Source organism: Homo sapiens, chromosome 2 (assembly GCF_000001405.40).
Source record: "Homo sapiens chromosome 2, GRCh38.p14 Primary Assembly".
Classification (NCBI taxonomy): domain Eukaryota; kingdom Metazoa; phylum Chordata; class Mammalia; order Primates; family Hominidae; genus Homo; species Homo sapiens.
This window is the reverse complement of record NC_000002.12, coordinates 8,266,048-8,279,914: the sequence shown is the minus strand read 5'-3', so window position 1 is coordinate 8,279,914 and position 13,867 is coordinate 8,266,048. Positions and strand designations below refer to the sequence as shown.

Genomic DNA, 13,867 nt, shown 5'->3' with positions numbered 1-13,867 from the left:
GTTATATTTTACAGCGCCTCCAGGTGATTCTCAGGCATGCAAGGCTGAGCCGGTGGTCTCTTCGGCGACGCTGTGGGGTTAGGTGATGTAGCATCTGTAAAGCACTTCACAGACTATCAGACATGCAATTAGAATGCAGCAAATGGCCCACGCCTTGCTTTGGGAAGAGGGTCCGCAGAGTAGGAGAGGAAGAGTAGGAAGAAAAGCGCCCCAGGTGGGTGGCAGGCTGAGCAATGCCCCACGCAGGAGTTCCAGGTGGATCTTATGGATCTGTGTGACTGCAGCACAATTTGGCAGGTGGGGGTGGGGGAAGAAATGTGGGAAAGGTGGGCAGAACCAGTCATGGAGGCTTTGAACTTGGGCTTCATCTTGTAGGGTGATCAGGAGCCATGGGACAGGATGCACATACTTGAAGGAAAGCATTTTCTAGGGGAAGCCAGGGTGGGGAAACCTCCTTACATCCGTGCAGGAGTCCCATGTCTCATGGGCTGATGTGGGTCACGTGGGGTTTGTGGAACATAAAATCCCCAGGGTCGGAATCTTGTCTTGCTCTATGTTGTATCCTTAGCACTAGAACCACGCCTGGTACATAGTAGGCACTTGGTAGAGGGTATCGATTGGGAGAATACACGAAGGACAAAAAATCCAAACGAAGGAGAAGCTTGGCAGAGGCAGCAGGGGACTGCAGGACCAGCCCTGTCAAAGCAGAATCCCACTGAACTGCTGGTGCCCCTGGACAAGCCATATCCCTTCTTGGCCTCTGTTTCTGTCGCTTAAATGGAGGGCAGGGTCCTTCTAGCTCTAATGTCCACCAATAATTAAATGCTTCTGATCCTGAACGAGTTCATGACCTTCTTACTGATGCGCCAAGTCCTAGGTGGAAACTCCATCAGAAGCCTTTGTGTTTCCCTGAGTTCTGGAAGCCTGGCCCCAGGAGGCAGAGTTGGGGCAACTCATCCTGGCTGCTGGGAAACCCAGGCTTGGATGGAAGGCAGCTTGCTGCTGAGGCTGGTGACCTTATTAGCAGTGGTTGGACCAGATCCTCTAAAGTCATTTTCACGGTTGTAGGTCCAAGTGCTGTGATGGTGGGAGGGAGGTCTTCCCAGGCAAGGAAGGGGCACTGGCCGGGGTGGGGAAGTCGGGCTCCTAGTCCCAGCTGCTGTGCCTCCCCTCTGGGCAAGCCATCTTACCTGTTTGCATGTTAGTTTCTTTAGTTGTAAAACAAGGAATTTATATTAAGTTAACTCTAACAGACCATTTTCGGTTTTCAACTCCTATGATTTTGTAGCATGCTCTCGGGTTTCTTTTATCTTTATCTCCGTGTATCTTTGTTTCTAAAAGATCCAGGCCTCGATGACACCTTTTCCTCCCTAGTACTTTCAGCCCACGAGAGAATCTAAAAGCTGACTCTGCACCTCCGGGTGCTGCCGAGCCTTTTGCACAGAAAGAAGAGAAAGCTGGATAGTTTTTTTTTTTCTTTTGCTTCTTCGTTAACAGATATTTTTAGCTTTTCTAAAAGCTTCTCATTCTGAGCCTTAAAAAGAAATAAGAACCTGTTCCAAAAATGCAAATTCTCTGGCAAGAAGCAAGAGGGGTGTTTTCAATCTTCCCTGAACGATTGTTTTCTCTCCCACAGACCCTCGTGGTGCAGCAGAGGGCAGCTGGGGTGCGGGAGGAGGTGGGAGGGTGAGGCTGTGGCCAGCAGGAGCCAGGCCTCAGGGTGCCAGCCTGGACCAGGAGCATGTGCTGGGGGCTTGCTTTCCGCAATCAGGCACTTTTTCAAGTTGGTCCTGAACGGTTCTGGACTGGATGGCAGGCTGCTGTGTGTGATTGAGAATGTTGCCTGTCTGAGCCCTGAGATGAGCTGAGGGTTCCTCCTCCCCAGCCAGCACCAGCCTCACACAGCCCTTGTAAATCTGAAAGTGCTGTTGGTAGCAACCAGGGATGGGCAGAGGCAGCCCTGTCCTGAGGGTGACATGAAAGTGAGAGCAAGCTGAAGCTCCAGTTGGCTTAGTCTTCAAAAGTGTCACTTTCAGATTATATCCCTCAGCTTTAAAATATCCTTCTTTGAAGTCCATCCTGCTCTGCCCACTATTTGTCCCCGGTGGTCACTTCCTCCTCTGTGCTCCCGTGGCCTGGGATTCACACCAGGAAAGAACGCCACGAAGAAGGAATGGTGAGTGGTATGTGTGTCTGCTTCCCATGGGGATGGGAAATGGAGAGAGAACTGCCCAGTGGGATTGTTACTTCGCCCGGCACCTTGCAGGAATCTTGCAATCACTTCTCATTTACATTTTTTATTCCCTAGCATCTAGCTCATAGTAGATGCTCACTAATGCACTAATGCTGGATTGCCATACCTAAGATTTTTCCTGTGTATCTTTCAAAACTAATCCAAAGGTTGCTTATATTCTGAAATAATAATCAGTCCTTGAATCTCTTTGAATAACAACACAATTTAGTTCCCATTAGGTTAAATTCAGGGAATATTGTGAATGCAGCCTTTGAAAGGAGACCTTTAATATACTTAGGCTTGCAATTATTTTTCAGAAAGTGATTATATTGGCATCTTGATATAAAAATGATGGATGCCACCCTCTGTCCCTTACACACTCAGTTCCGGTTCTCAAAAGTTAGCGATGGAGATGGGAGACAGTCTGGGTGTGTGCTGGGGAGGCAGGGTGGGCAGTGAGGCAACGTGGCCACTTTCAGATCCTTCAATCTCTTCTTTTTATACGTATAGCTTAGCTTCCTCGTAACTGAAAGCAGAGAATGATTCTGGTTCTTAAACTGAGGCTTAGGAGACCGCTTTATCTATGCACAGTTGTTTCTAAATATTAGGAATAAAGCCAGTTGGGATGAATACTTCTTACACTCACTACAGGAAAATGCTGAGGCATAGACATAGGATCTGAATTCACAACCATCTTTAGGACTGAGGAGAAATAACAGAAGTTCTTATGTTACTAACAGCAATGCCCGTGTTTCCTGATTCTATATCTTGTTTTGGTAGGGTGGTCAGAACATTAACATGGATATCCTTATTTGCAACCTGATTGCTTCCCAGAAACTATGTTAGTTGCTTTAAATACATCTTCGTAACAATATTCCAGAATAGACATTATTATTGCCACTTTCTGGATGAAGAACCTGAGACTCAGAGAAACTGAGGAACTTCCTGGGCCTTGTCCTCAGGTCCTCCTGAACACAGGGCTCAGGTGCCTTGCTCAGTTTCTTTGATGATCCTAACGGACTCCAGTGTCGCAGATGGGAAAGCTGGCAGGGAGGGAGAGGTGATGTTTGCCCAGGAATGGGGAGTGGAAGATAGAGGACTAGATGCATAGACCTCAGTGTATTGTGCTTAGAACAAATCCTATTGTCCATTAAACTTTATCATAATCATGCATGGTAGATGATAGTATCTTCCATTTACAGGTAAGAGCTTTGGCACACACCCCCAGACATTTATATGAAACCCCAGAAAGTCATGCCCAGGAATAAAAAGTAAACCGGTTGTATTAGTCTACTCTCATGCTGCTAATAAAGACATACCCAAAATGGGGTAATTTATAAAAGAAAGGGGCTGGAGAGGCCTCACAATCATGGCGGAAGTTGAATGAGGAGCAAAGTCACGTCTTACATGGTGGCAGTCAAGAGAGTGTGTGCAGGGGAACTCCCATTAATAAAACCATCAGATCTCATGAGACTTATTCACTATCAAGAGAACAGCATGGGAAAAACCCACTCCTCATGACTCAATTACCTCCCACTGGGTCCCTCCCACTGCATCTGGGAATTATGGGAGCTACAATTCAAGATGAGATTTGAGTGGGGACACAGCCAAACCATGTCACCCAGGGACTAACGACAAAACCAAAGCAGACTTCCCTAAGAAAGCTGAAATCCAAGAATTGACAGGATCAAAATGACCCACTGGTATTTATCTGCCTTCCAGGAAAACACCCTACCTCATTACAAAGAAGGCATAATTCAGAGCCTCTGCATTGTATCATCCACAATGTACATTACACAATAATAAATTACTAGATGTAAGAAGAAGTAGGAAAAAGTGACCAAAAGTCAAAGTTTAAAAAACAGTCCATGAAAGCAAATGGATGCAGTTAGAAGACAGACTTCAAAATAACTGTGATCCATTTGTTAAAGGAAAGAGATGAAAAGACAGACAACATGGAAGAGGAGAGGGAGTATTTCAACAAAGAATTGGAATTATATAAAAAAGAATCAAATGGGAATTTTACAACTGCCAAAGGCAATATCTGACTTTAAGAACAATGTCTAACATATTGCAAAGGAAAGATCTAGCATTCATTGGATGGCTTTAATAGTAAAGTGGACACAGCAGAGACAGGAAAAGTGAGCTTGAATTCCTCAAAGCAAGTCATTACATTTCCAGATTGAAGCACACAGAAAAAAAAAAATAAGAATGGGACAATAGCAGAAGAGATTATAAGGGAGTTGTTGGACCCAGTCACAGGATTAGCATTTATAACTTTGGGATCCCAGGAGGGGAGGAGAGAGATGTGACAGGCACAACGTTTGGAAAAACCTGATGTACAGGAATTCCTTGTTTTATTGTGCTTTCCTTATTTAACTTTCCAGCTATTACATGTTTTACAAATAATTGAAAGTTTGTGGCAACCCTGGGTCAAGCATGTCTATTGGCCCATTTTTTCCAACAGTGTGTGCTCACATTTGTCTCTGTGTTACATTTTGATAATCCTCGCAATATTTTAAACTTTATTTATCATTATATATGTTATGGTGATCTGTGATCGGTGACCTTTGATGTTGCTATTGACATTGTTTTAGGGCACCACAAACCAGGCCCATATAAGATGACCAACTTCATCCATCAATGTCATGTGTGTTCTGACTGCTCTGCTGACCGGCCACCTCATCTCTCTCCCTCTCCTAGGGCCTCTCGATTCCCCAAGACACAACGGTATTGAAATTAGGCCAATTAATAACCCTACAAGGGCCTCTAAGTGTTCAAGTGAAAGGAAGAGTTGTATGTCTCTCACTTTAAATCAAAAGCTAGAAATGATTAAGCTCAGTGAGGAAGGCATGTTGAAAGAAGAGGCAGGCTGAAAGCTAAACTTCTTGCACCAGTTAACCATGTTCCAAATGCAAAGGAAAAGTTTTTGAAGAAAATTAAAAGTGCTACTCCAGTGAACACTGAAATGATAAGAAAGCAAAAGAGGTTGAGTGCTGAAATTGAAAAAGTTTTAGTGGTCTGGAAAGAAGACCAGAGCAGCCACAACATTCCCTTAAGCCAAAGCCGAATCCAGAGCAACGTCTTAATTCTCTCCAATTCTATGAAGCCTGAGAGAGGTGAGGAAGCTGCAGAAGAAAAGCTTGAAGCTAGCGGAGATTGGTTAATGAGGTTTAATGAAAGAAGCCGTCTCCAGAACATGAAGTGCAAGGTGAAGCAGCAAGTGCTGATGAAGAAGCTGCAGCAAATCATCCAGAAGATCCAGCTAAGATCACTGATGAAGGGGGCTCCACTAAACAACAGATTTTCAATGTAGATGAAACAGCCTTCTCTTGGAATAAGGAACTATCCAGGACTTTCATAGCTGTAGAGGAAAAGCCAATGCCTGGCTTTAAAGCTTTAAAGGACAGGCTGACTTATTAGAGGCTAATGCAGCCGGTGACTTTCAAGTTGAAGATGATGCTCATTTGTTATTACAAAAATCCTAGGGTCCTTAAACATTATGATAGATCGACTGTGCCTCTGCTCTATAAAAGGAACAATGAAGCACCTCTGTTTACAGCATGGTTTACTGAACGTTTTAAGCCCACTGTTGAGACCTAGCACAAAAAAAGATTCCTTTGAAAATGTTACTGTCGATTGACAATGCACCTAGTCACCCAAGAGCTCTGATGGAGGTGTACACGGAGATTAATATTGTTTTCATGCCTGCTAACGCAACATCCATTCTACAGCCCATGGATTAAGGAGTAATTCTGACTTTGAAGGCATATTATTTAAGGAGTACATTTTGTAAGGCTATAGCTGCTGTACCTAGTGATTCCTCTCTGATGGATCTGGGCAAAGTCAATTGAAAACCTTCTTGAAAGGATTCCTCATTCTAGATGCCATTTAGAACATTGGTGATTCATGGGAGGAGGTTAAGATATCCACGTTAACAGAAATGTGGAAAAAGTTGAATCCAATCTTCATGAATGACTTTGAGGGGTTCAAAACTTCTGTGGAGGAAGTAACTGCAGATGTGGTAAAGATAACAGAAGAGGTAGAAGTGGAGTCTGAAGATGGGACTGAATTCCTGCAATCTCATGATGAAACTTGGGTGGATAAGGAGTTGCTTCTTATGGATAAGCAGAGAAAGTTGTTTCTTGAGATGGAAACTAATCCTTGTGAAGGTGCTGTGAACATTGTTGAAATGACAACAAAGGATTCAGAATATTCCATAAACTGGGTTGATAAAGCAGTGGCAGAGTTTGAGAGAAGTGATTCGAATTTTGAAAGAAGTTCTACTCTGGGCAAAATCCTATCAAACAGCATCACTTGATACAGAAAAATCTTTCATGATAGAGAGTCAATTGATGTGACAAACTTCATTGTCTATTTTAAGAAATTGCCACAGCCACCCCAGCCTTCAGCAACCACCACCCTGATCAGTCAGCAGCCATCAACATTGAGGCAAGACCATCCACCAGCAAAAAGATTACAACTCACTGAAGGCTCAGATGATTGTTAGCAGTTTTTAGCAATAAATAAAGTATTCTTAAATTAAGGTGTGTACATTTTTAGGCATAATATTATAGCAAACTTAATAGACTACATAACTTTGATATGCACTGGGAAAGTAAAAAATTAGTATGACTCTCTTTATTGTGCCCTTAACTTTATTGCAGTCGTCTAGAACTGAACCTGCAATATCTTTGAGGTAATGCTGGTGTTTATAATGTAACATAGAAACTCTGAATTATGTTACATTCCTTTAAATAGGCCTGCATTTCACTCTGAGTGTGTTTTAAAGGTAATGTCAATGTGATTTACTGGCAGGTAAGATTGGAGTACGAGAAGAAAAAAGAGGAGTCAAGAGAGAATCTAAATCTAAACTCTTCGGCCTGAGCAACTGGAAGATAAATTTCCATTAACTCAAAAGACTTCAAGTGGGGCACAGTGAGGGGTGGAAGATCAAGCCTTAATTTTGGATAGATTACATTTCAGATTTCTATCAGATATCCAAGTAGAGCTATCAAGCAGATAGGTGGCTATACACATTTAGAGCTTCCTGGAGAGGTTCATAGTGGAGATACACAATTTTAGAATCCTTGGCACGTGAGACCAGGTGAGACAAATGTATACTGAAGGGAGATGAATTCCAAGGACTGAGCCCTGGGGAAGTACCATGTTAAGATGTTGGGGGAGAAATTTAAAATCGGCAAAAGAGACTGAAAAGGGGTATCCAGTGAGAAAAGCAAAGGCATGTGGTGCCCTAGAAGGCAGGTGAGCAAAGCGTTTCCAGGAGTAAGGAGAGGTCAACAATGTCAACTGCTGCTTTTGTGACTGCATTCCATGGTGGCTATCGGCCACCTTGCCAGGGGCAACTGCAGTGTGTGAAGAGGGTGCAGGTCTGAAGACATAAGGGAGGATGGGAGCTGAGGATTGATGCCCTTTGTTTAGAAGACACTCTCAGGAAGATTTCCTGAAAGGGAAACAGAGAAAGGGATGAGAGCTGGAGGGGCAAGTGGTGTCGGGAAAAGACTTTCTCAGGATGAGAGGAGCAATATCGTATTGACGCCGATGTGAGTGTCCTAGTGCAGATGGAAAAGGAATCATATTGTGGGGAGGGGTTATTGCTGGAATGATGTCCTTGGATGGGTGAGGTCTGGTCAACAGTTTTGAGTTTTCTGTTTTCTTCACTGCTTGCGTTCTGTCAACCTGTCCTGCTATTCACTTCTTAATGTAGTCTCTCGCTGTTCCAAACTAAACTCCATCCTCTCAATGTCTTCCCATCTCCTTACAGTCAGTACCAAAGAGTCAAGGGACTTGATCACAGATCCAATATTTTTAGATGTATCCCAGAGGCCCACGAGAATGCTGCCTTCCCTGAGATACCCAGCTAAACGGGGCCTGAGCCACAGGGCTAAGATCTATGTCCAGAGAGTCATGAGTTAACCAGCAAAAGCTCACGAAAAGTTTCCTTAGAGAGCCACAAACCCCACTGATGGCTCCAGAGGGAAGTAATGACTTGGATATCCATGATCTCCTTCATAGAGTCTTGACTTCCTCTTGGCTGAGGCAGAGTTCCCACTTCCTGTCCTCTGCCTTCCACTCTACCCATGCCAGCCTCCCAACACTTGCCATTGATAAATCTTGTTTAATTGGTCCTCCTGACATTATTGACTTATTAGCTGTTCCACTTAGAAGAAGCTAGAAATGAACCCATCATCTTCAAATATCAAATACAAATTTATATCAAATGGGGATTGAGCCAGCTCTCCCTCAACTCTTTTGAGACACAATGAAGGAAGATGCTAGAATCACGTGGGTGACACATACCTTTTACGTCTGTCATCAGAGTCATCATTAAATTGAATAACTCTACCGAGAAAGGGGCCATAGGAAGGCAGGCTCATTCAAACTATGCTTCCTTTAAAAAGAACCTATTCTTCCATAGAATACCTAGCAGTGTTCTAAATATTGCTGTGTTTAGAAGAAGGTCATTGGCTAGCAGACCAGAGAGATGGAATGAGCATAATGAACAGAATGAGAGACAGGTTCAGAGGCGCTTGTTGGATGTTTTTTAAGCAGTCACTGTGGACCAGATCTTTTGTGCATTAGCTCACTGAATGCCCCCTGGACCTGAGAAGGGAAGTGTTGTCTATATCATACAAGTGAGGGAGCTGGGGCTCAGAAAGGTGCAGTAACTGGCTCCAGGCCATGAAATTTGTGTCAGACCCAGAATTCAAATCTAGGTCAATCTGACACCAAAGTCCAGAGTGTTCCACAACTAAAGAGAAATGCTCTCAAATTTCCAGTGCCCTTCATGTGATCAATGAGGTTCATCTTAGCTTCACCCCAGAGAAGCATGGTATGTTCCATTGTCTGTGGCCTCAAGGAACACAGCTGTTTTCTAGTTGAAGTTGTCTGGATACCTACCATACATTCAATAAGAGTTCAGTCAGGTCTTCATGAAAGGTTCATTTTTTTGATCCTAACCCATAGGTTCAAAGAGGTTCACAGAGCCCTCAGGTACTGAGGGAAAGGTCTGCTCAGGGCACTTGATGTCTGCCTGGAAGTATAATTAGGGTCTGCATCCGGACAGGTAGGCGATGGAAAGCGGTCATTCTAAGTGGGCATAAGACTGGGCAGAAGAAAGAAAGGCGTGGGTAAAAATATGGCTTTTAGTTAATAAAAGCCCCCAGATTTGTTCACTCTCTCCTCTGTGCTGGCTGTTTGAAAGGCCTATGGGGAGAAATGGCAAAATATGGTTCTTGAAACACAGGGCAGTGTACACCCACAGCACTGGGCTCCTTACCCTAAGACTAGAATAGAACGTCCTTGGATGATGGATTGTCCTCATCTTCCTTTAGCCACACGAAAGCACCCAGGAAACTGTAAAGTACCACTAAGGTAAGCCTTCCTCTGATTACGCGCATCACAGTAGTTTAAAGCCATATTATTATGCCATTGGAGATTGTACTTCAGCCATGAGAAATTTAAGGGAATCAGGTATCTCATTTTCTTTTATTTTCTTTCCTTTTTTTTTTTTTTTTGGAGATGGAGTTTTGCTCTTGTTGCCCAGGCTGGAGTATAGTGGTACGATCGCAGCTCACTGCAACCTCTGCCTCCTGGGTTCAAGGAATACTCCAGCCTCAGCCTCCCAAGTAGCTGGGATTACAGGCATCTGTCACCATGCCCCAGTAATTTTTGAAGTTTTAGTAGAGATGAGGTTTTGCCATGTTGGCCAGGCTGGTGTCAAACTCCTGACCTCAGGTGATCCGCCCACCTCGGCCTCCCAAAGTGCTGGGATTACAGATATGAGTCATCATTTTCTTTCTATGATTATCCAGACTTTTATCTCTTTTAACAGTTGTACAATTTATTTGAGTCTTCATCACTATCAATAAAGTATTTTTAATAAAGTATCTTATATATGTATAATTATTTATAAATGATATATCATTGCATTAATGTATAGTGCTTTAAAACATAAGCTAAAATTGAAATCTTAAACTAATGAGCTATCTAGAAGTCCTAGAAGTTTCTTCCTGAAATCTTAAACTAATGAGATATCTAGAAGTCCTAGAAGTTTCTTCCTGTACCTCAATGAATCTCCTTGCAAATTTCTGGAGAACCTTGGCTTAGATCTTGAACCCTAGGAGACTGCCTTCCAAAATGGCAAACATGTTGTCTTAGGGCTGCCATAACCAAGTACCATAAACTGGGTCACTTAAACAACAGAAAGTTATCATCTCAGAGTTATGGAGTCCAGAAGTCAGAGATCAAGATGTTGGCAGGGGTGGTTTTTTTGGAAGACCGTGAGGAAGAGTCTATTCCATGCCCGTCTCCCGCCTGACGGTTGTTTGCCAGCAATCTCGTGTTCCTTGACTTGTGGAAGTGTCAGCCTAGCCTCTGCCTTCATCTTCCTGTGACATTCTCTAGTAAGGGTATAATTGCTAGTAGGGGGTATAATTTATAAAACAGCTAGCAGGGGCATCATTTATAAATGTCTCTGTGAAGCCCCTCCAACTTCGTTCCCAGTGAGAATTAGTAAGTTCTTTCTCTGTTCTTTTATAGAAAGTTTCCTTAATTTTTCTTTAACTCCTATGTATTCTATCTTATATAATGGTTGTCCTTGCAGATTTTCTCACAAAATTAAAAGCTTATCAGAGAAGATATGTTTTCCTTGACATTTTTGTTCACTTCCTTTCATCACAAGTCCCTATTTTTCCACATACTGACCCCAAACATTTTTTTTCAGAATCTCCTTGTACGTGGTGGTAGATGATCAATAAGTACATCTTGAATTACATTGACCTTTCTGTGGAGCATAAAATCCTTAGATATAATTAATGGTAACTTCCTGGCCAATTACCTTTGTACAAATAATTGACATTCACCAATTGCCTTTGATTCTCGCGCATGTGCCAGCACACAATCTCTCCCCCTTGTCCAGTGTTATTTTTTCCCACAGTTGTTAAAGGGAAAGTGCAGGCATTGCTGGTACGTGTGCAGGCTCACAGAATTTTACTTAATTAGGCAGAACTTGGCTAACATCTGGGGTGGAGACACGTTTTCCCCACAGAAAATTGCCTTGTTCACTCCAGATGAGTCATGTCCTGATGTCTTGGCCCGGGAGTGGGTGTTCAAGGGAATTGTGTCCCAGCCACTACCACCACGAAATGCTCTTTCTGTAAGTGGCAGGGATTTGGGATGATGCAGAAGCACCTGCAGTTCTCTACCAGCTTTGGAGGGAGTTATATTTTCCTGAGTGTCATGGAGACTTTAACTTAAACCTTCCGCATCCCTGCTTATCTGCTGACTTGGCTGTTAGACAGAGGTAGAATATATGATTAGCATCTTGCCTTATTGTTGCTATTCTTACTTATTTGGCCTTTATTAAACAACTAGTTGTTGCATTGGAATAGGCTATGATTTCCCAGTTTACTACTGATTAGCTATGTCGCTTTACATCAGCCTTCTGTCAACTCCAGCAGGTCTCTGTTGCTACATAGATTGTCCAATGTTAAGCAAAAAAAGATTAATTTCTTTCAATCAGTTCTTCACTTTCACATCACAGATCAGCTGGATTCACCACATAATTCTCTCGAGCTTTCACTCCAATGTTTTCTTTGTTGTTGTTGTTTGTTTGTTAAGAACAAGGTCAAATTAGGCAATGAGCTGTTCTGATAATAGTAATTGGAATATAGAAGTGACCTATGCCTTCTTGACTGCCTGGTGAAGTCATTTGTTCTAGAGAGCTGGCCATGTCCATGTTGGACAAACTCAGCGTTCCCACGGCAGCATCCAAGACTGTGTCCACACTGGAGCAGTGTGAGGAAGCCATGGAGAATCTCACTACTGTTTCAGTAAAATGGGCATAAAGGGCTTTGTTCTTCTAAGAAAACATGGATGAAATATTTTTAAATGATACATAAACTTTGAGACAACCAAATAAAGTTCTAGCAAAAGTGCCTGACATGTAGTTACCCACCCTTACAAGTACATATTTTGTGTCAGACACTTCACAATGATCTTAGTTAATTGTCACAATGAGCTTTCAATACTATTTGATACATGAGGAAATTGAGGCACAGAGAAGTTAAGTCATTTGCCAAAGTTCACATAGCTGGTAAGTGGCAGATCCAGGATCAGAAGCCAGGGATGGGCCAAACCTATAATCCATTCTGTGTACTCTCCTGGGCCCACAGGCTTCCCGAAGATTTCAGTCTCCTCTGCCTATTCCGACAGGTGAGGAGTTTGCACATCCACATGGATTTTCAATATGGATTGTGTCTAGCGTGGACAGAGATCACCAGCCTGGGGCATGGCTCACTCCTCAACTCCGCAATGTACTGCCATGCTTTTGAGGAGTTGCTTCACACAATGACATAATGGAACCATTCCATTTCCCTTCTATGAATGACCTTTTATTAGCTTGAGAGAGCAGCTTACATACCAGTGATTCAGTATCAAAAAGCAGAATTATTTGTTTTTGAGAAGGCTCACCACCCACCTGCATGTTCCCTTCTGCTAAACCCCCTCCCTCAGACTTGAAGACAGGAAGTTACAGGCGATAAAACATAAGGCCCTTGTTAATTGCAAATTAGCAGTGCCAGGAATATATGCAGATGGCACCTGAGGTCAATTGCTGACAGCGTCCTATTCTGGTTATATTTTTCTTTTCTGCCATGCAACTGTGCAGTAAGCAAAGAGAGGGTGGTCTTAGGTTCTTGTTTAGTTCTGCATTTCTGTGGGATGAAATCCATGTTCTTGGCCTACCACTGTTTTTATTTTTTAAATTCGGTGGTTTTTGCTTTTATTTACTCACTCACTTTAACCAGTTTCAGGCTTTGGTAGTTTCCGGGACACAGGTGTGGCTCTCTGGACATGCATGAGGCATGGAATAGATGACACTTGCTTAGCTAGTAAATATCAGGCTGCATGAATTTGCACATTCTCGAGTGATCAGTTGTGAACCTCCAGTATTGTAATAGACCCATGGGAACATTTGTGCTTTTGCTGACACTCTGATTACATTCATCAAATGATTTTTTTTTTCTTTCAAGGCTGGCATTTCAGTAAATTTTTTAAAGGTTGCATGCCAACTGACAAAGTCAATTAATTAAATGCAAAATTCAAAATTGGTAGGAAATAATGATCACTGTACCAAACTGGATGACCTGGGGGAAATAAAAAAAACATTTCTGACTTCCAGCTGATGAAAGGAATGCTTTGGTTGGGACTCTGATGTAGAAGGGATTCGATATTGGCCACATTAACAGCTACTTGGAAAATAAGCCTTGCTCCAGGATTTTGACAGAAATGTAGGCTCCACAGCTTAGGACAAGTGACAGTGCAACTGGCGACACCTGATGGACCTCTGCTAGGCTACTGGACCACGTCTTAGCCTGACCTTCTGAAACATCCGTCCATCCTCCCATCTTCGTGATTGTGTCCCAGAGAAGAGCTGGGTCAGACCCAGGCCTGTCTGGCTATAAACTCTTACATCTGGAGGGAGTGGTTGGAGTGTTCTATTGTAGCAACCCGCCTTTTTCTAGGGAAGTAGAAGCCCCTGCTTGGCTCTCCCATGCTGATATTTAGCACAGCCAGCCTGGGGATGGGCATCTGTGTAGGGGGCAGTGTGAC

The 13,867-nt window shown here is 43.0% G+C and overlaps 1 long non-coding RNA gene across 2 annotated transcripts in view, besides 2 other annotated features; it reads left to right on the top strand.

The window, feature by feature from the left end:
- LINC00299 (long intergenic non-protein coding RNA 299) overlaps positions 1 to 13,867 on the top strand; it is a 320,649-nt gene that overhangs the window by 48,505 nt on the left and 258,277 nt on the right. The window lies entirely within an intron of this gene.
- Positions 1,683 to 2,184: an enhancer, noted in NCBI's record as "H3K4me1 hESC enhancer chr2:8417861-8418362 (GRCh37/hg19 assembly coordinates)". NCBI's record gives its function as "activates a minimal SCP1, AML or CMV promoter by ChIP-STARR-seq in naive H9 embryonic stem cells {active_cell/tissue: H9 hESC(naive)}" and the evidence as "EXISTENCE:reporter gene assay evidence [ECO:0000049][PMID:30033119]".
- Positions 1,899 to 1,948: a silencer, noted in NCBI's record as "silent region_11123". NCBI's record gives its function as "represses an Ori minimal core promoter by ATAC-STARR-seq in GM12878 lymphoblastoid cells {active_cell/tissue: GM12878}" and the evidence as "EXISTENCE:reporter gene assay evidence [ECO:0000049][PMID:35858748]".